A 22,375-nucleotide genomic window follows, 5' to 3' on the forward strand; every position below is an offset into this window, starting at 1 on the left:
CCACCCCTGGAAACACTTAGTGGGGAATAAAAATTATCAGAAATCCTTTCTCATAGGAGACCCAAACCCTGACAGGGACATTTTAAAAAATGAAGTAAATGAACTCTGTCAATTTTAATTCCTGGTGTTCATGAATAATGCAGAGCTGGAAATGTAGATAGCAATGGATTTGAGGGAGGCAGCCAGGATTTTAACACTGGCTTTGCTGGTAAAAAGATATAAAGCCACATGACTTCATCTCTTTTGGCCTTCGTATTCTCATCTGTAAAGTAGGCCTTTTTCTATATGATTCCATTTTTTAGACAATTAAATATCTTTTCCAATATAAAGCTAATATGTGCTTATTGAAGAAAACTTGAAGAATAATGTATGAAGAAAAGAATGTTTTTAATCACCCATAATCAAACAACTCAGAGATAACCACTGTTATGTATTGAAGCATTTCTTTTGAATCTTTTTTCTAGGATATTGATTAAAACAGGGGTAATACTATATTCAGTCTTATAGTTATTTTAAATAGATCGCTTACATGTTCTAATATAAGAATTATTTACATTTGGCTTTCGAATGGTGTTTTGTCCTAGCTCTACAACCACCTGGGCTTCTTCACTGTCACCCAGGAATTCTAGTTTTCCTTCTCGGGTATCATAATAATGCATTATATTTATTTTTCACATTTATAGTCTCATTTGGTCCCCACAGCAATGGAGGAAGGCAGACCGGACAAGTATTATTATCTCCTTTGATACATGAGGAAACCAGGGCTCAATAAAGTGAAGTGATTTGCTCTAATTACCCAGCCAGAGATGGTCAAGGACAGGGAATTTGATCCCAAGACTACCTGCTAAATACTCGTCATCACACTACTTCCATTTGACCCGAGTTCAAAAAAGCAAACTCCATTGTCTACCAGCCTGGGAAGATGAACAACTTTTGCTAACACTTGTCTCTGCTGCCAGTGCATTTCTATGAGGAAGGATTGTTTGGTCCAAAAAATTAACAGGAAATTATGTAGATTGCTATGTTTTAAGTAATTATTTATGGTGCTGATTTTAATAAATGCATCATCCAATTATCTCTAATGCTTAGGCTCAATTTTTTTTTCTTCCTGGCATCACTATTATCTTGTCCTCCATTATCTAACTACCTGCGATAAGCCTCTGCATGACCAGTTCTGACCTCAGGGATAGTTCTGTTATCGTATTTGATTTGATGGATTATAATTAGCCTAAAATCCAATCACAGTCATGAATCCAATGACTGGAAACTGGGAACTGATCCAGGACTGGTCTGTGATGGAAATATAATATCCTCCATAACTGGCTTGAATTATAATTGGTCATATTAAAGTCTAATGTTGACTAATTCTGAATACTAGAACGACATTCAGCCAGTCCTTATGTTGCACTGCTGAATAATTTTGGATTAAGACATGTAGGTAGCTTCATGTTATATCATACTGTGAATCTGATTTCTAAATCTCCAATTAGCTGAAATTCAACACAGACATGTAAAGGTAGCAGGAAAAAGAATAACATTTATTTAGAGATTTCAATGTAGAACTTAGCCTTTTTTTTTTAAGGCTAAATCCTCATTAACCTTTGTCCTTGCCTGTAACTACCAAGGAATTATGAATCAGGGTGAGCAAGTCTCCTAATTACCTTTTGCTTAGTGTTGGCTGAGTGACCCTGCTGACCTAGAAGACCGCTAGAGGCAAGGCTCCAACATCAAAAAATTCTGGAGAGCCAGAGACAACTTCAAAGTCTGCAGCCTTACCAGAGTCTTTCCCTTTCTTCTTCCCCACAATGTACAAACCCCACCCACCAGTCTAAGTCACAGGCCCCTCTCTCTACTGTGGCATTCACTGATAACTAAGAGGTTTCTAGGAAAGGCTTTGTCTGGCCATTCCTGCAGGTGTCTGTGTTACAACAGGGGCTCCTTGAAGAGAAAATCTGTCTTAGGATCAAGTGTGTAGGGCCCGGGCCTAGACTGCCTCCCAGCCACCCTCCTCTTCTGTGGGTACTTCCATTCCTACCCTGGATACTCAGAGGCCCTCAATTGCTCAGTTTCCTAGAGGCTGATCATACCCTAAGCAAATAAGTTAGGCTCTAGAACTGATGGCTCTTCTCTGTCAATCAAATATCTTAGTCACCATCTTGAAGGAGCAAAATAAAGTGAAGCCAGCAACCACCACATGTCTCACCATCCAAGGCTGTGGCCTGTAGTAGAAGCAGCTCAGCTTCACTTCTTCTGAGGAAGGCTGCGGCTTCTCCAAGGTCTGACAGATCCATCTTTATTAAAGCAATCCACCAAAAAAAGGCCCTAAACGTGAGTAGGCAAGATTCAACCTGAAAAAAAAAAATTGATACAGAGAAGAAAAAAGTGGAAATAAGGCATCAAGCTCTAAATGAGCAACCATTCACATAGATAGACTAAAGAGTGTTAAGTTTTCCTGTAACTACCTGTGCCCCTTCTTTCTCTTCGCTATGTCTCAAATTTATACAAAATTGGACTCAAGAATATCTGACTCTAGCAGGGCTGACTTACCCACTAGACATAGAAGGCACAGTGCCTGAGGCCCACAATGCTTTTAGGGGCCCATGAAAATGTTTAATTTATTTTTAAATCAGAAGAAAAATATAAAAGTAATATGAATGATACATATTAATGAACAGAGCCTGGATTATATTCATCTTTAGGCCAACACAGTTATGAAATCTGATTTTTAATATTTTTTTGTGGAGAAATGGTCCTTAAAAGACAGAAGTGCCTGTAGTCAGTGAAAGTCATAATGCCACCCTGCGCCATGGAGTTCTGACAGGTGGTAGGATATTCCAGATGGAGAAACATCAAGTTGCGGACACTAGGCCTTTGATAGGCGTGGAGGGGGGTTTCGAGGTATCTAATTACCCCCAAGCAGACAGACCGTTATAGACAGAGTATGGTTACAAAGAGAAGTGATTCAGATAAATGTTCAGTAATAGACAGTAAAGGGATAAAAAGATAAGTATCTTGGCAGAGATAAGTGTCTGGGAGCAAATGATTTACAAAAATACAGGCACAGCTGGGCATTTGGGAGGCCTGGCCAAGAGCAGTAATGAAGAAGCCCAGGCTGAAGGTGGCAAGCAGGTTACATGGTGATGTGAGTGAAGCTGGAATAAATAAAGAAGTTCATTGGCTCAAGCAAGGCAAGTATCAGTCTTAGAGGGACTAAGTTGCTGGACAAATTACCAAGGCTGAAGTCACTGAGCACCCACTGTATACCAAACACTGGACATAGTTTATCTTTAATTTTCACACTTTACATTTGATAACAGGGAGAAGAAGAAATGGAAACTGGGCCTTCATGATCTTAAATGAGAAGCTATTCTCTCTATTTGGACAAAAAAAGTCTTCCTCTTCACTCAAGCATGCAAGGCAAGTGTTACTCATCACATTTATAGGTAAGAAGGTAGAGAAGGACTTGCCAAGTTTGCTTAGCTCAGGTGCTGTCTTTGAGGACAGATCAGCACCCACTTCAGAATGAACTGTAATCACTTACTATCTTGCAATGAACAAATCCAATAAACTAATGTATTTTACTGCACTTAATCTGCTCTCTTCTTTGTGGTGGCTTGGATAGGTATAGTGATACCACTTGTAGGATCTAGTTTAAAGGAGTATGATTTAAAGCAAAGCCTACTGGTTCAGGCTAAGAGTTAGTTTTATTTCTGCCAGCAAATAGGCATGTGACTTGTGGGAAATCACTTAGTCCCTGTAGATGCATTTTCCTCACCTATGTAATGCAAGGACTAGTCTTAATGTATAGGAACATTTCCTAAAGTGGAGAGAAGAAAAGATGCTCAAGAGAAACAACATAAATGATGGCCCTCCAGAGATGCGACTGAAGGCAGCATTTCTCAGGGAAAAAGACAAAACTGATTTTTCTGCGGGTGAGCATTCAGATTCAGGTTTTGTAATCATTATAACAGCAATAACATTGTTAGACATCTGAATATAGAAGAACTCAAGGTAAAGGAAAGCTCTGAAAATAAGGCAGAGAAATTTAGAAATAGATGGTAGGAAACATCATCAACTCTGTGGGCAGGAACATGAGGAAAGCAGTATTTTGGGAAAATGGCTCTGGTGGCATATTCTGGGTAGATGAGGATGAGGAAAAGCTGTAGTCAGGGAGACAAGTTGTGAGTCTGGATTTGTCTGGGTCCTCCTCCTCTCTGTATGTGTGACTTCCTAGTGGCTTGCACTCAGTAGACAGTAGAGCTTGGGAAGTATATTTGGAATATAAAAGATATCCATTAATACATGTGTGTACAAACTTCCTGAAACATACCTAAGAAATGGATGTCTGTCTGAGTAGTGAGAGAAGGAGATGGGTGGGAGAAGGAGAGAACTACCTTTCATTTCATTCCATTCTAGTCTGTCAATGTGTGCCATGTGCTTATATTTCATAATTAACAGATTTTTTACAAGTAGTTCTTATTATAACATCAGAGATGAAAAGATCACAGCAAAACAGAGCACACAGCTGTGTAACTCTCCTTCCAAGTCTGGAGCATTTAACATATTTAAAGGTGTACAAAGAACAGAATGTGTAGGAGCAGGCACTGGAAAGTAGGAAACATTAGGTGCCAGGAGTGGGGCGGGCCTGGCAACCATTTGGAGATAGGTAACTGAAGCCAAGAGAATGATTCACCTGAGCAAAAAAAGGATCGAAATCCTTCTATCTCCTTGGCCCCATCCAGCTTCCATTAACCCCCTAATGTCCTACTGACCTCTGGGTCCCTTTAGGTTCCAGTTGCACATATGGCTTTACAATTTTATAGAATAACACACTTGTCACAGCCCAGTCCTAGCAACATCTTAAAATAGAAAATGAAAGAGCCCGAATGCCCAAAAGAAGTAAACAAATTAACCTTGCCAGCAAAAGAATCAGGAAGCTATATTTTGTGAATGACAGAGAAACACAGATGAGTATAGAACTGAAGGTAATTCTCTTAGAGGAAAAGTTCATCTACATGTTGAAAGGAAATTATATTTGAGACTGGTATACTCACACATGTTTATCGGAGAATTCTGACACCATGATAAACAAACTTGTATCTGATACTGCATATATTTACAAGACAGAAGAGAGCAGGGGGCAGCACTGGAATCCTGGAAGGAGAATAGGAAAGGATAGGGCAGACGGGCTGCATGCACAATGCTGGGAGTACCTCACTTCTAGGACCTAGCTCTGCCTTTGAACATTCAGGAGCTTGATTTATCAATACATACTGATTAGGTTCTGGGAATCACATAACTATGCTCAGAAGTGTGCATACAATTCATCACCCAAACCTGGACCTATTTTTTCTTACTGGGATTTTTAAGAGGGGATGCCATTAATATTTAAATCAGGACAACAAACTTAATCTAAGACTGACCCAAGTGAATAGGGACATATGGACACTCCACTAATAAGAGAATTGAGGACTTGAGATGGCAATTTCTAAACTGACAATGAATGTACACATTTTCCATAACTGCAAAGTCCAGGTTACTTGTCTGCATGATCCACAGGGCACATAGACAACGTCATCACTATCAGAAGGTTGGATTCGGAGAAAGACATTAGATCATCATGTACATGACATAATTCAGTTTGTAACACAGCAAAATAATGCATCCTGTTCTGTTCTAGAGTTCACCTTTACAGGGACTGAGCACCATATAAGCCATCCGTATCCTGTTTATATTGATACGGCACAATTTCCAGGTGTATCTTAGTTACCAGTTGATAAAGTAAAGACAAAGAATGGGAAGCCCTTACTGGGAAGGGAGAGCTGAGATGTAAGCTTTTCCTCTTAGCCAAGAAAGAATCATGTTGGTCTGACCTAGCTGCCTTTCATAAAAAATATGTTTGAACAGCTGCCAGCTGAGACAAGTCACGAGCCCAGATGACCAACCATCCCTGTCTTCCCGGAACTGAGGTATTTCCCAGGGCTTGAGATTTTCAGTGTGAAAACCAGAAAAGTCCCAGGAAAACTAGAACAAGTTGGTCAACCTACTTTTAAGTGTAGTGCCTGTAGTTCTTTTAGAAATTCAGTCACAATTTTGGAAATTAGCTATTTTTATACTGGTTGTATTTCTGCAGCTATCCCCCTCTCCCTCCTCAGGTATTTTGCAAACACCTTTTTTGAAAACGTCCTTTTCAAATATACGTTTGAATATATTCATGCAATATATATGTATTGCCCATCTGTAATTGCCCATGTTAGGCCCAGGGGTACAATAATGGGCAGAATAAATACTGTGCCCTCTTGGAGTAATAGATTTGAATAGGGATAGAAGTTTCTTCTGTCTTGAATTATTATGCATTAGACAAATCTGTAGAGAGAAATTTTCACACTTTGGGGTGGGGGGGTGGAGCTGGTCATATGGCAAAGTTCAGAAAAGAAGCCCAGAGGGGGACTGTAGCAGTGAAGGGAAGAGGTAAGCTTATACAGCCACGACTCCTAACTCACTAGTCTGAATGGAAACTGTAGGCAGAGTTATGTTTTCTTAAGATGAGAAAACACGTTCCTCACATTATTGTTTCACAGGCTCTTTCACTGTCTCATTCTCTGCCCACCATTCCAATGGAAGGGTCTCATCCTGGAGCCTCCTAATCCCCTAGGATAGAACCCTTGGAGGCATCTCTAATTTTCCTTCTATCTCATGCCACATTCAATTCATCGTCAACTTTTATTGATAATTAATTTTATTGATAATTAATTGTATAATTACCAGTTCTTATCCACTTTTAGACGACACAGTTTGGAGTGCCTGTTGAGCCCACACTCCTATTAGAAGTGCCTGCTCTCATCCACAGGAATGAGCCGCAAGTAGCCATGTCTGTAAGGTGACACTGGTGTCCTGGCCCAACTTATAAACCAGGCTTCAGTATCTGATCTGGGACAATCAGAGACAATCAGGGTATCCCCCTGGAATACAGATTTGGGATTTAGATGCCACTCTCCATCTGGGCTCTTTGCTTGAATGGAGTGATGCAAACTTGAGGGTTGAGGTTGGCATTGTGGTGTGGTCACATGGTGCCACATGCACGCTAATCAGCAAAAGCATCCATAGAGAGGGAGTCACAGGGATGAGGAGAAGCAGCAATAAGGGACCAAAGGAAGAGAGAGATCACTTTCTTATATCTCAAAGACCCTTCCTGGTAACAGTACCTCCTGAGACCTATATTTAATTTCTGCCTTTGATTTCCATAAGCGCTCTCAATGACCTTCCAGTACATTCTAATTTCTTTCCCAACTTTAAATAATCTGAAGTGAGTTTTTGTTATTTGCCATCAAAATATCCTTAACTAACGCATTATGTCTCAGTCTCTGTCCCAACAAAGTTTCTTAGTTTCTCTCCTAAGATGATGTGAAGATTGTGTATAAAACTCAGCACATTGTCTGGTGCATAGTAAAACCTCAATCACTGTTAACTGTTCTTTTTACTATTCAACAAGCATTTATGCAGTCTTTGCACACTGTGCTAAATATGTAAGACAGTAGCTTTGCTTTCCAAATTGCTTATTGAATCTGAGATGTGCAAAATCATAATGGAGGATGGTACCATGGGGAAGTAAAGAGGGAAATTCACATAGTGGCAGCTACTAGCTGAGTAGATGGAGGTGAGACAAGGGAATTGTCTATTTAGATGGTGATCGCTCCTGAAAGGTCACACTTTCTAGTCTTCTTACTGCTGACCACAGTAAATCTATCACTCAGCACTCATCTCTTTCAATCAGAGCTAGACAATAAATATGGGGATGAGGGGGTGCAGAAATTCATTTCACCTTGGCATTTCAGTGCCTTAACTATAAGCAGAAACTCAAATGATGCCTATGAAGTAAATTGTTAAAAGAGTTAAACTCTTTTCATGTTAGCAGTCCTGACACATTTTTAAGTCGGTTTCATCATAATTGATTAGATTCGCTTGAGTTCTTCATCAAGGTACGTTATTATGCATGTTTACTTTCAAAGCCTTCTACTGCTGGGAAGCCATGATGCAAGTAATAAGAACAAATATTAATATTCCTTTGAGTAAACAAACACTAAGCATCTTTTGACATAGCCTCTTCCATTATTAAAATTGGAGACAATGCCTGAAAATGAGAATGGATTTATCTAGATGTCAACAGCTGAAGGGAAGAATTATCAAGCACTTAAATGATCCCAAACAAGCTGAAACATATGTCTTAAGGCAGTAAATGAAACACATTTGAGTTACAAGGCCCAGTGAATGCCACAAATCTGGGGAAATGCTGCAAGATGCTCCTAATTAGGGACACTACTAGGTAGACAAATGATGCTGCTGCTTCCTAGTATTCATGCTGCTGGGATAATCATGTTATGTGCCTTAACTGAGCAAGGTTTCCTCCATAGAAAATCTTAAGTGGTTAGTCTTTAGGCACACATCTACCACCCCTTAACCAGCTACGCTACCTGCAATTTATTTATTTATACGCAGCTTATTTCTCTACAAAAGCAGGGGTTTAGGCAGGTTTATCTTCTTCAAAGAGGAATGTTAAACGGTTGAATTACAAATCAAGAGTATTGCACAAATTATTGATTATTTAAAGCATTTACTTCAAAGGGTGATTATTATTACAGCTATAGGTCTCCAGGCAATGGAGTTTACACTCCTAGATTCTGCTCCCCGCTCCCCTCCCACTGGGATGTGGCTTTTCCTCCCATCCCTCCACAGAAACTGTTCTTTCTAATGATCTCCTGAAGAGAAATCCTAATTGTGTGCTTTTCAGTCTCTAATCCTACTCAACCTCTCTGCAGCATTTGACACTCCCTGGTTGCTGGGGTCCCTTCTTCCTTTTCTTCTCTTTCCCAGTTGTTCATTTACTAATCAAAGGTCCATCCACAATACAAATTGTGAGTATCATTGACATTTCTCTTTTGCTCCCTCTTTTCACTAGTTTCTATCTCCCAGCGTTTGCTGGCTCTTTAATCCTTTCAGAACTACCTTCTCCTACACTTTACTACCTCCCAATCTCTGATCAAAATGCTGGATCTCTGCACTGAGCTATTCGCTATTGATCCAGAGAAGAACTTCTGATTAATTTTTTTTTTGAGACGGAATTTTGCTCTTGTTGCCCAGGCTGGAGTGCAATGGTGCAATCTCGGCTCACCGCAACCTCTGACTCCCGGGTTCAAGTGATTCTCCTGCCTCAGCCTCCCAAGTACCTGGGATTACAGGTGCCCAACACCATGAATGGCTAATTTTTGTATTTTTAGTAGGAATGGGGTTTCACCATGTTGGCCAGGCTGGTCTTGAACTCCTGACTTCAAGTGATCCACCCACCTCGACTTCCCAAAGTGCTGGGATTACAGGTACCCACCACCATGCATGGCTAATTTTTGTATTTTTAGTAGGAATGGGGTTTCACCATGTTGGCCAGGCTGGTCTTGAACTCCTGACCTCAAGTGATCCACCCACCTCGACTTCCCAAAGTGCTGGGATTACAGGTGTGAGCCACCGCACCCGGCCACCTTCTGATTAAATTCTGTCATGCATTCATTTTAAAGTATGTCCTCTTAGGATCTGTGGATTAAAAGAGTAATAAGACCTCAAGAAGTTTCCACTCTAATGGACATGGACAACAGAGATATAATCAGTGACTATAATTCAGTATGATAAATGCTAGGTGCTAGGATAGAGCAATGTACAGGGCCATACAGGTCAAGGAGGCATAACGCTCTCATCTACATTTGTATTTTTAAGAATAACAGTTTACAACTTAAAGGAAGGAATCTCAAACATCCCTGAAATGATACCTTTGGAAACAGTGCCAATATACTATTTAATAAAAGCAAATCTGAGTTCTGAGTGTGTATCACACACCAGGAACTAGGTTAAGTGTTTTATACATAATAACTCTTTTAACTTTACAGTAGCTCTATGAAGGATATATGTAATAACCTTTATTATATGAAAACACTGAGTCTCAGAGAACTAGCAAGTGTTATCTCTAGTTTTAAATCCAGATACATTAAAGTCATTCTTGTTTCCTACTTTGTTCACCTTTACATCCAATCAATTGCCAAGCTCTGCTGACTCTTTCTAAATATCACTCAAAACCATCTCCATCTTTCCATCACCCCTGCCAACATCTGGATCAAGGCCATCATCATTTTTCTGGGGGCGTATTGCTGTATTCTCTCAGTCTCCCGACAGCAGCCAATCCAGAATGAGGCCCCCAAGTAGAGAAACACAGTTACTGTACTATCTTATTTAAAATCATTCCGCATCCTATGATAAAAGCCCAACATGTTAACAGAGCCTATAGAGCTCTCCATCCTCTTGCTTGACTGACACCCACACCTCATCTCTCTTGCTGTCTCATCCCCAGGCCTGACCTGGCTGGGGCACTACTAGTAGATGCCAACAGCACTCTCTGACCTCTGGGTGTTCACACGTCATGTGACCCCTGCCGGGAACATTCAGCCCTGTCCCTCATCTGGCTAATTCTTAATCATCCTTTGGGTCTTCAGTAAGCAACATTTCTACAAGAAGGTATTCTCTAGGTTCGTTCTGTCAGCTAGATGTGTTCTTAGATTTCTTTGCTACTTGCATCATGATAATTTTCATCCTATTTTATTATTATTTGTTTAATTGCCCATCTTCCTAATGAAACATAAGTAATCTGAGGGCAGGACTAGGTCTGCAGCACTCAGAGAAGACTCTAGTTCTTTGGGTAGAGCATTAATAAACACGTAGGGAATGAACCAACAAATAGAGCAGACCCATCAGTCTGACTCCTGAGTCCTTGCTCTTAAGCATGATGCTATACTTCCTCCTTGGCTGAGCTCCAGCCAGCAAGGAGGCTGATGTTCTTGGTTAGAAAAGCATCTAACCAAGATGCAACATGTCCATACAGGCAACATGTCCTTGGTTTAAAAAGCATCACCACTTCATTTTTAAGTTGGATGAGAAAAATTTAGATTTGTGGTTCAAAAGAAGTATGCTAAGGATAAAAATCAACTGGTATACCATATCAAGAAAACCAGACTGGTAAGGAAAGATTTAAATAAGTAGTTTATTTTTAAAATAAAGGTATTTAAGTCAATACATCTGAATTGTATTGCTCCAAGATTTTTGAATCCATGGAGTCTTAGAACTAAAAGTTCTTTAATAACAGCTGGCTCATTGCTCCATATTTTACAGGTGAGTATGCAGGGACCAGCAAAATACATGATTGGCTCACATTCACCAACCAATAACAATGGAGCAGGCTGAAAGTATGGATAGTTTTGAGCAGAGTTGAGAGAAAAATACTGATGATAGCTCTATGAAGAGAAACTGAAGGAAACTAAGATCGAGGGCTATACTTTTGTGCTTCAGAATTCAAGGCAAATATACCCTCCTATAAAATACTAGGTAATACCACAGTCAACGGAATAAAGATTAGCTGAAATGGAACATTGTCATGATAATATTCCTTAGGGTCAGTGACCCACGATCTGCATAATAGAGTAACACTTACTTTAGAATTGCAGGTGCTGTTATTCAGCACAAAAGACATGCATTAAATATATTTAGTGATTCTAAAAGATGATATATAAATTCAAGGTATTAATAGCATTATTTTCATCGATTTATTGGTTTCATATTTTCTGAATGTTCTTAACTCAGGATAATTATGAGTTTTAACTAAGTACAATTGTAGTCAACATCTTTGCATAATAGATATTCAGATACACTTATCTAAAATAAAACTAGAATATTATGTATTCCAGTTCAATTAAATATAACAATTTTTTGAACATTCAATAAGTGCCAAGAATTGTCAAAATGCTTGGGATACTAGAATAATTAAGATGTGGCTTCTGTTTCAAGATTTAAGTCTAGCAGGGACCAAGACTTGTCAATATAGTTTTCAGTATGATAAGTAAAAGACATACATTCTCCAAAAGATTATACCGAAAGTAAAACAAATTGCTGTTAAAATTCTCACCTCAGAGCAACTATTCTATTCTATGAATACACCATCTTTTTCTTAAAATATTTTGTTTCGTATAACAACCCCCATGCGAAAACTATCAGTAAAAATAGCAAATTGTTTTTAATACCCACTATTCAATGTATTGGTGGAAAAGGGAGAGATAGAAACCTACCTTGGAAAGATCAAAAGAAATGGGCAGACCAGTGCTGAGTCAAGACTTTATACACTCTTGTCAAGGTCAAGGATGACAGCTTCAGTCAACTTTGCCATTGTTTCTAAATTTGTCTACTGGTTTTTAAGAAGTTGAACCCTTGGATCTGGATTTGGCACCCCAAATGTCTCTGAGGCAAGGGTATGAGATGTCAGAAAACGATCCCATTTCTATAACCAAAATCCGCAGACTAATTTAACTCATTCCTCAAATGCTTGCTACATAATAGGATTAGACAATATTAAAAGAGAAGCAGCAACACCGTCTCTGGTGGCATCAATTTTGGAGTCTTGGGCTCTAGTGCTATCTCTCCAGTGATTTGGAGCAATTAAGTTAAGGGTCTCAACATTTTCCATATCTCCAAGAAAATAGTTAATCATAGATATCTACTATTTATTTAGGCTATTCTGAGAATACTAAGAAAGAATATTTATTAAGGGTGGATTATATTCCAAGTGATTGTTCCAATCAATTTGCATATGTGAGTTAATATAATCCTCATAACAACCTTGTAAGATAGGGTTTATTATTCCCATTTTACAGATGTGGAAACAAAGGCAGAGGTGATAAGCTAGTCATTTTGGGAGAAAAGATTTGAGCCTAGATGTTGAGCTTCAAAATATATTCTTGTAATAATTATAATATATAATTTTTATCTCATACATCTCATTTGGTTCTTTAATTTCTTCCCCCCTCCCAAAAGTGTAATTTTTAAAAGTGTCTTGTCTATCCAAGGAAATGTATTTCTATTTGCCTCTTTCAACATTGAGAAAATTTTCTTTTACTGAGTGTCTAGGTGAAGCAAACAGCTAATTGATTGCTACAAAAGGGGAGATTAGCCAGTCGACCCTTGACTTTGAATTACTTTCTTAGGACTTATAAGCTTTTTACAAAACCTGAAAATGTCTTTCTGGAGCAAAGGACTTTCTGAACTTTTTTAAAATGACTTTTGGGAAATGATGTTAAAAAAAAAAAAGGAAACTCTTTGAGTTATAGGAAATAGTTCATGCGATCAGTTCTCACTACTCATGGGTCAGTTCTGCATAACTATTTCCCAGACCAATTTATTAACCATTTCCCACTGAGCAATAAAAGAATAGAGAGACACCTCTCCTGAAGCCTATTACAACAGCATTGAGGGCAGAAGTAAACTAATAAGAAATGCTGAAGCAAGTACTGTATAATTATACCCAATCAATTTTTACCAAAATGAATCAATATGGCAGTCTAATTGAGATGATCTTTGTTGCTTCATACAGGAATGAGATTTAATTAGAATCTCCAGTGATTGTAAATGGGTAAACTGAAGTCACCAGTAACCTCACAGAAATCCCAGGCAATATGAGATGAAGCAATAGATACAGCGCCCTGGCTGGCTTTTTGTTCACAGGAAATGGACATTAAAGTGCCCTACTTGGCCTTTGGGAGACTGCAAACCATTTTCAGGTGTGCTTGGGGCCTGAGTAAAAGGGTGTGGTATTGTGTCCAGACATTTGTAAAAGATTCAGTTCAGATAAAGCAGACAAAACAGTTTAACTTGCATTTCAAGGAGCTCTGAGGATTCAAGATGTTCAGTTGTGGAAGAAACTAACAAGACCGGTTTTAAGAGGGGTTTAGTTTGAAATAAATGAGAGACAGCTGTTAATAGTAATAAGCCTGTTTCCATTTTTGAAAGGTTGGGAGGGACATGCACCAATAGACTCGGAGGGCAGGTGGTGGGGAGCAATAGGAGATGTATGTGGTGAAGATGGTGGAAAGACAGAGGGGGACTGTGGTTCTATCAACAACAACAAAAAAATCCCAAGAAAGGGCATGAGGCATGATCAGGGAGATTCTGATGTGGCTTAGTGGGTATTTGGTAGTTGACAAATCTAAAGGGTAGATAGGTGTGGTGACCCTGGAGATTCAAATTTTTCCTAGGGCATTATTATAACCCCAGAAATGTGAGGCAGTGTTACTTCTTCTCTGGGTTGAACAGAGAATAAGGATCAAAACAAGGGTCTTAATGTAAAGTAAGTGGTGTATTTTAAAACAATCAAGTGAGAATAAGCTCTGTCAATAGTTGCTGTATTCAAATGATTGAATTCCATAGAATCTATGGATAATTGACTTGACGACAAAATTAAAGTAACTATGCCCACCATAGAAGCCCCTTTGAAGATTTCTTGCATGTTGACAACCACAAGTTGTTCTGCTTCACATGTAGTTGATCTAGTAGTGTAATTCACAGAACCAAAATTCAAACCTGAAATCTTACTAATTGATTAATAATTGCTAAAGAGGAAATGTTTTATAGCGTTTACTATACAGATGCTACAGAACTATTTGAGGGCGAAATAATTCATACGATGGTGTTTTGAGACACAATTTAAAACATCCGTTATTCCTTCCTGTTCCTAATCTCAATAGAAGGGTTGATATCATAAAAGATGTTAGAATGTATTAGGTGATACAGGGAGGAAAAGAGGGCATCTTCCACGCAGATTTGCTACAGATTTACAAAGGAAAGAAAAAATCCTCTCACTTCCAAGGCCCCCATCTTCTTCCTTTACCAATTTTGTTGGTGTGATTTGAGAACAAGAACATTTGCGAAAGGACTTGATGTGTGGATATAAAGTGATAGTTTCATACTTGTTACAATGTAAGATCATATGCTTCTGAGAAGGAGAATTCATTATTAAAGATGTTTGTGATATTTAAATAAGAATGAATTATAAAACAGTATTTACAGTATATTTAAGATTATATGCATAATAAAAGTTCCAAATTGGCTATCTCTGGATGGTGGGATTATGGATTCTTTTAAAAATTATTTTGCAACTCTAAATTTTCTACTCTTCTCTTTCTATAATGAAAATATCATTTTGTGCAATAAAGATTATCTTAAAATAAAATAAGGTGATGGTCAGTATTTCTGGGTATAAATTAGGGTCAGAATTAGATATATATCATACTGAAACATTACAGTATACCCTGTAAATATATGCAATTATTATTTGTCGAATAAAAATAAAATTGAACTTCCAAAAACATTAAAGAATTATGTAAATGTTTTTGTATACATACATATATAATACACTCCTGTACATATATAAATAACATATAATTAATTTTACATATCAAGAAGTTAAACATGTGATAAAGCTTGGGGTTTTTTTGCTTGCCTTTGTCCTCTTGCTACAGCCCATATTAGATCTTGGATTCTCTTACCCTTCTACTCACATTATCCTTCTTGCTTTTATTCACCCCACACATAATCCAGATTAACAATTTAGGATGTATTCTTCAATATTTTTCTCCGTGCTTATGTGTTCAGGTAAACAAATATACAGACATATCACATATTGTTGTAGGTCATTTAACAAAATAAGATCAATTATATACAGGCCTCTATGTCCTAATTCTTCTCACTCAATAATACCTCATTGAAAATCTGCCAAATCAACTGCTACAACTCAAATGCATTATTTTAATGATTCTATGATATTTCACATCATACCATATGTATCATAATTTATTCAACAATTCCCCTATTGACATTTCCAGAGGTTTTTTGCCGTTATAAAAAAATGTAATCAGCATCCTTGTACGTGTGTCATTACTCATGATTTTATTTATTTGAGAAAGTGTCCTAGGAGTGGGAATGTTAAGTCAAAGAAAATACACATTTAAAATTCTAATAGATATTGCCAGATTGTTTTCCAAAAAGGCAGTAACAATTAACAATTTCACCAGTCATATATGAAAGTACTTTTTCCTGCATTACTGACAGTAATAGGCCTTTTCATTCTTTATAACTTTTTGACAATCCAATAGGTATAATGTAATATTTCATTGTTAGTTTAATTTCATTTCTCTGTTAAAGAATTTGAACATCTTTTCGAATACTCATTTGGATTAGTTCTTGTCTGAATTGTTTGTTCTGTCTACTTTTTATTTCGTTTATCTTGTCTACTTTTCTATGGGGGTATTTACTTGTTCTTTTCAATTTGCAATTGTTCTTTGTACATTTTGTGTGCTAATCCTATGTCTTTTATTATTAATTTAATTTACCAAATCTATTATTTTTCTTTTGAATTCACTTATGGTAACTTTTGTCATATTTTTTACAGTTAAATATGCCTATCTTTTCTTTTTATAACTTAACATTTTTTTTGGTCCAGCTTTGGAGGATTATAAACAGTTATATTTAGTCAGTATTTCTTGGTAGTCCTGGTATTAGTTGCCAAGGGTAACAAAAACAATAACAAAATTGCCCTTTGCAAGTAGCGTAGTTAGAAACAGAAAAACCTCAAAATAACAATGACTTAAATACGGCAGAAGTTTATTTCTCTCATGAAGTCTGGAAGGAGTTAATCCAGGGCTCCTATGTATACCCCAGTGTGAGGGATCAGGTTTCTTCTGTCTTGATCTACTGTTCATGGCTTTCATTCCCCAGGTCAAGGCATGATTCAATATTCTGCTAGAGACCCAGCCATTTTGTTCATTTACACTTGGGAAGAAACAAGAAGAAGAAAAGAAGAGCCATGTCCTTTAAAGATTCTTCCCAGAAATTGTCTGCCCTTTTCCATTCACATCACATTATCAAGAACTTAATTACATAGTTACACCTAGTTGCAAAGGATGCTTATGTTTTCCTGGCCACTACTATAGAAAGTCTATTACATTGTCCTAATTTCAGCTAAAGATTGGGGGTTCCAATCTTTAGAAGATGGGGAAAATGGATATTGGTCACTGCAATTACTTCAAAATAGTAATTAGCTGACATATTTTAAAACTAACGATTTGGGGTAAAATGATTTTGTGAAGATGTTATACTACTCTAAATAAAACAGATAGATAAATAATGATGAATAAATGAATGAACTCACTTTTAATATTTTTCTAGAGCTCCTTTATTTATTTTAACCTCTCTTTTCCAACACAATCACTCTCCAGTAATAATCTTCTGTAGCTACATGGGTACAGATGTTTTAGCAGATAATGCCTACTTATTTGGAAATTTTCTGTCAGCCAGAATGACCCAGCACATTGCATTGCTCAGTTTCATTAATTGTTTATCTCACACATCTGATGCTTTTAGCAATCTAGAAACTTCCCTCGTGAACCTGGTAAAATGATAAATGAAAGAATCAATTGGGCCAAAAACACTTTCCAGCTAGAAGGATTAATGCTACTGGGTGTTTTTTAACGAGTGGCTGTATTCAAATGAGTAACTTCTGTTTAGATACTCTCATGTCTACCCTATTTTTAATAAGATTACACATTGAAAAAAATGTAATACATTTTAACAGATAATGATGGCGGCAAAGCAGATGCCATGACTTATAATGTGGGTTGTTATCTATCTGCTGTTTGGACCCGAGCAATAAATTTCAAAATATATTTCACTGATGTCTGCTATATATTAAAAATAATGCAGACTATTTGAGCAAATCAGATCTCTAATTTTGAAATAAATCATCTGTATTATTAAACAAATGGTCTGGAATTAGAATTAAGGGCATATAGTAGGCAAACAAACATCTTTGATTTTATTCTTTGATCATGTCTAGTAGTGATATGGAAAAAAAAGAAAAGGGAAGAAATATCCTGTTCTGAGCTGCTCATCTATAATTCCAATATCTGTGAAAACTCCCAGGTCTGTCATTCAGAAGGACGACTTCTTCCCTCATGATTGAAACTGAACTCAAATGTGCCAAATGGGCCAATAAAGCTAGACTCTTATACAGTGATGCTTCGATAAACAAACTCACCATGCAGCACTTTATTAATCAATTCATGCCACCAACAAGTACATTAAAATGACAACTTATGCAAATTAGAGCTACCTAATTTTCCAGCTGTGAGGCATATATTTGCACATAGAGCTTCTATTAGTCTTCACTAAACTGAAGAAGATAAAGTTGTCAACTCTGAAATTTATTTTCCCTGTTCCCAGTTTCCCTGTTCGCTTCCTTTTTCTATTTCTGTTCTCTCACTTGTGAGGATAATGCTCTCTGATCTATTCACAGGTTTCCAGTCAGTTCAGCTCATGATCTGTTTATTGAGCCTGACACAGAATGAGCACTGGTGAATAAGGAAGGTACCTGCCCTCAGGGAGCTTGTGCTCTAGAGCAGAAGTCAGACCTGTGTTAAGACCCCTGATAGTTACTTGAAACAAGCCAATAATAATTGCATTCAGATGTTTTCCAGGGATTTTCATTTTAAAAAGTATAAATTAGAATAGATTTTAAAATATCCATCCATTAACACTTACTACTTGCCATCACTCACATGTTTTCTCCAGTGGAAGGGTCTGGCTGACACTTTCTCATAAACTGCAGCCCATCTGATCGATGTTGCAAGCCTTATTAAGCCTTGACTTTAATGAACATGAGTCTTGCATGTGGCTGAGGAAAAGGGTGAGGACTGGTGTTTTGGTTGACTTATTTCCATCAAAAAGAATTGAAAAACAGATCAAACGCAGTGAGTTAAAATTTATTTACATTTATCTGTAGCTAATCCACTTTGAAGAGCTCTCACCTATGTTCTTACATTTCAATATTCTTACTTCTAGTTGTAGAGCTCAAAAAGTTTTCTGCTTTCAGTTGTTCTTAAAATTTAGTGTGCATCAGAATTATTTAGAGGGTTTGTTAAAACGCAGATTGCCATGTGTCACTCCCAGAGTTTCTGATTCAGTAGATCTTGGATGGGGCCTGAGAAGTTGCATTTGAACAAGCTCCCTGTTGATGCTACTTGTCTGGGGGATCTCACTTTGAGAACTACTGTGCTAGACTAGAGGAATTTTCCACCACAGTAAGCAAGCAGGAGGATTCTGTTTAGCCACCAGGGATTAGTGAATTCTCATCAGATCTGCCTACCCAGCCAGCCCTACAAAACAGCCTCAATTAACCTTTCTCTGGTGACCCAGACAGACACTGGCATTCCACAGCCCTTCTCCATAGTCCAGGAGAGGCAAATCTTGCTCCTCCCATGCACTTTTCAGGTCTGCCTAAAAACATCCTTCACCACCTCTCATTGTAAAGGACTCTCAGCTATAGACAGTTACATGTTTTATGAGACAATTTATGTTATTCTAATAGAGTTTAATTATTTTTTTAAAAAAATCATCTCCTATCTTACCCCTAAGAAGTTATTTGCAATGCATTTCCATAACTCCTATTTTGTGTTGACCATGTCTCTGAATTTCTCAGTATCTACACTAGTCAGATCAATTTTAGGTTTGAAAAATATGTCACCATAGAAAAAATCTTATGGCTTATCAAGGAGCTTAGAGGTTAAGAGTGGGCTCTGAAGTCAGGCTGCCTGAGTGTGAATCATAACTCTGTTCTTGTCTAACTAGGTGATGCTGAGCAATTCTTTATTCTCTCTGGGCTATAGTTTTCTCATCTATAATATGCCTTCATCTTAATCTGTTTTGTGCTGCTATAGCAAAACCCCAGACTGAATAATTTATAAAAACAGAAATTTATTTCTTACAGTTTTGGAAACTGGGAAGTTCAAGGTTGAGGAGTCTGTATCTGGTGAGGGACTTCTTGCATAATTATCCCTTGGTAGGGGACTGAGAAAAAGGTGGATGGGGAACTCAACTTTTTGTAAGAACCCACTTCCTTATAACAGTATTAATCCGTTAATGAGGGTGAAGCCCTCATGACCTAATCGCCTCTTAATACTGTAACAATGGCAATTAAATTTCAACATGAGTTTTGAAGGGGATGCATATTCAAACCATACCAGTCTACCTCATAAGGTTTTCATTTTAAATACAATAATATCTGTAAAATATTCAAAAAAGCACCCAGAACAGGTTATTTAATAAATAGAAAAAAATAATTATTGCAAAATTACTGTGATTATATTGGGGGCATATATAAGTAGAATTTGATTCAGTTTCTTAATAATAAAGAATGGCCATATCATTGGAAGACTAATAGGCAGCATAAGGTATGATGGATTTCTTTGAATCTTAAACTTCTTGCAATAGTCTTCTTGGTAAAACAGTTGAGATTACAGACACACTAAAATCTGGATGATGGTTGGGTTTTTCTGCACTCTGCCATGGGTTTTAAATAGTTTGATAAGGAATTTTGTCTTTAAAAGCCATGACCTAATTTAGGTGTATGAACATGTATCTCAATTCAATCCAAAAGCAGTAAACTCCCACTGAGTGTGCAGAAAGATGATCTAAGTTCTTGTGTTTACACAGAACTCTATGTGCTGGGTACTATTATTGTCTTCTATTTGTAGATAAGGAATTGAGGCTTGGAAAAGAGAGACGACTACACAAGGTCACAGTGCTAATTAATACTCAGCAGAACCAGTACTCCAACTCATACAGTCTGACACTATAGACCATGCTCTTAACTATTCTGACTTTTTGCCTTGGGGTTGGTCCCAGAGAAAACTACTCTCAGTAAATAATTAGAATTCAGGCAACTCTGGTATCAGCAAAAATAGAGAAGGTGACACGTCATACTCCATCCCACTAAGTACAGAGAGGAAATTCAGTGGAAAATTTCAGCACCATGACCCTTGGTGTCTGAGAAAAGGGAAGTGAGAAGTTGTGTGTTGGGGACTGGACACAAGAGCACACAGAATGAAATCACATGAAGTGTTTTACCATCTGGATTTTTAAAAAGCAGACCGGCTACATTTATGTCATATAATGATCACTCAGAAATTACATCATAGCCTATTTTTATACTATCATGTAGTAATTGGTGTGCTGCTGATTAAGACCATCAAGAATAAAATTCTAGGCTGCTACTGTCAGGCTATTCAGCATTCTGTTAGACAAATTAAAACATATGTTGGGAGTCCACTCACCATGATCTTTTTGGTAAGATGAGGTAAATACAATTAAAATGATCATATGAAGTAGAAATGACCTAAATTGAGGATCCGATGAGAGAATGATAGCCAGGAAGGCAACATTATGTTGACAGCATGGGAAATCTGTGAATAAAGAGGTGGAAACATACAAGATATATTTAGTCATTGTGCTTGGGACAGGGAAATAATTTCAAAATTCAGACTGAGAGCACATTGTGGAAGGCTTTGGCTATCTCGCTAAGGAGTTTAGATTTTATTCTATATTTCAAAACATTCTTTTAAGGCAAAACACATTTTTTCAAACAATCTCCAACATAGGTCTCTTGACTGAGACATTTTCTTCCAACAAGGTGGGGAAACAGGGAAAAGATTTAGCCCCCTACCTAAAACAACTTAAGAAAAAAGCACAGAACATATGATACAATGGGTTTAAATAATTGATTAATAAACACAAAGGACACTGATCCCTGAAAGAGGGGAGCAAACAAGGTGAGCTCCATGACTGCCTCAGCTTGAAGAGTTTCCAAGACATAACACAGGGAGTTTTCAGACCATGACCAGCAACCTCTTTGAGTTAAGGAGATGAAGCTAGCAGTCTGTAGTGGCTGAGATGGCTAGAGTTTATAGAGCAGAGTACTGGATAGGAGAGAGCTGCTCAGAGAGAGCTCTGGGGAACTGCAGAGGATCCTTATCAAGTCATCAGTAGTGTAGTGATCTGTGCATGTGTATGAGGAAAGGACCACCCAAATAAATTAGAAGAAAAGTCCTTGGAGCCCTTTAGAAATAGTTTTTGTTCCTGCAAGCCAGAGTGGAAAACTTCATACTTCATGGGGAATCAGGAAGTGTATTCACAAGGGTTTCATGTCAATAGTGGAGATTAGCCGTAAACTAAACACTGCTCTTGTCCTTTCTAGCAAAACTTAAAAATCCAAATGGAAAGAATCAGTTTCTAAGTAACTTAACTGCAACTCAAAACAAAGCTCAAAGATATCTATAGGAATACAAATATATCTACCACCTAACAAGCTAGAATTCACAATGTCTGGCATCTAATTAAAAATTACCAGGCAGAAAAGGCTATACACTGTTTGACAATTGTATGACATTCTTGAAAAGGCAAAACATGGAGACAGTGAAAATATCAGTGATTTCCAGGGAGTTGTGAAGAGGGAGAGATAAATAGGTGGAGCATAGGGGATTTTTTAGGGCAGTGAAACTTTTCTGAGTGACACTATAGTGGTGAATATATTTGTCCAGACCCATAGGATGTACAATACCAAGAGTGAACCCTAATGTGAATTATGGACTTTGAGTAATAATAATGTGTCAACGTAGGTTCATCAATT

The 22,375-nt window shown here is 37.6% G+C and overlaps 1 protein-coding gene and 1 long non-coding RNA gene across 3 annotated transcripts in view; both read right to left on the reverse strand.

Annotated features, from left to right (window-relative positions):
- Nucleotides 1-22,375, reverse strand: part of MYH15 (myosin heavy chain 15) — a 170,705-nt gene that overhangs the window by 127,872 nt on the left and 20,458 nt on the right. The window contains exons 2-3 of one of the 2 annotated variants that reach the window (XM_011512559.3): nt 21,024-21,152; nt 2,204-2,348 (exon numbers count right to left, since the gene is read on the reverse strand). In XM_011512559.3, coding sequence (XP_011510861.1) covers nt 2,204-2,348; nt 21,024-21,026 — 148 coding nt within the window. In that variant the 5' untranslated portion in view covers nt 21,027-21,152. Of the gene's footprint in view, nt 1-2,203; nt 2,358-21,023; nt 21,153-22,375 lie in introns of those variants that run through there. The other variant, NM_014981.3, reaches the window with a different exon arrangement.
- Nucleotides 16,502-19,049, reverse strand: LOC124909406 (uncharacterized). The gene is made up of 2 exons (XR_007096000.1): nt 18,471-19,049; nt 16,502-16,686 (listed from the first exon to the last, which is right to left on the reverse strand). It is a non-coding gene; the product is annotated as an uncharacterized LOC124909406 (long non-coding RNA).

This window comes from Homo sapiens, chromosome 3 (genome assembly GCF_000001405.40).
Source record: "Homo sapiens chromosome 3, GRCh38.p14 Primary Assembly".
Taxonomy (NCBI): domain Eukaryota; kingdom Metazoa; phylum Chordata; class Mammalia; order Primates; family Hominidae; genus Homo; species Homo sapiens.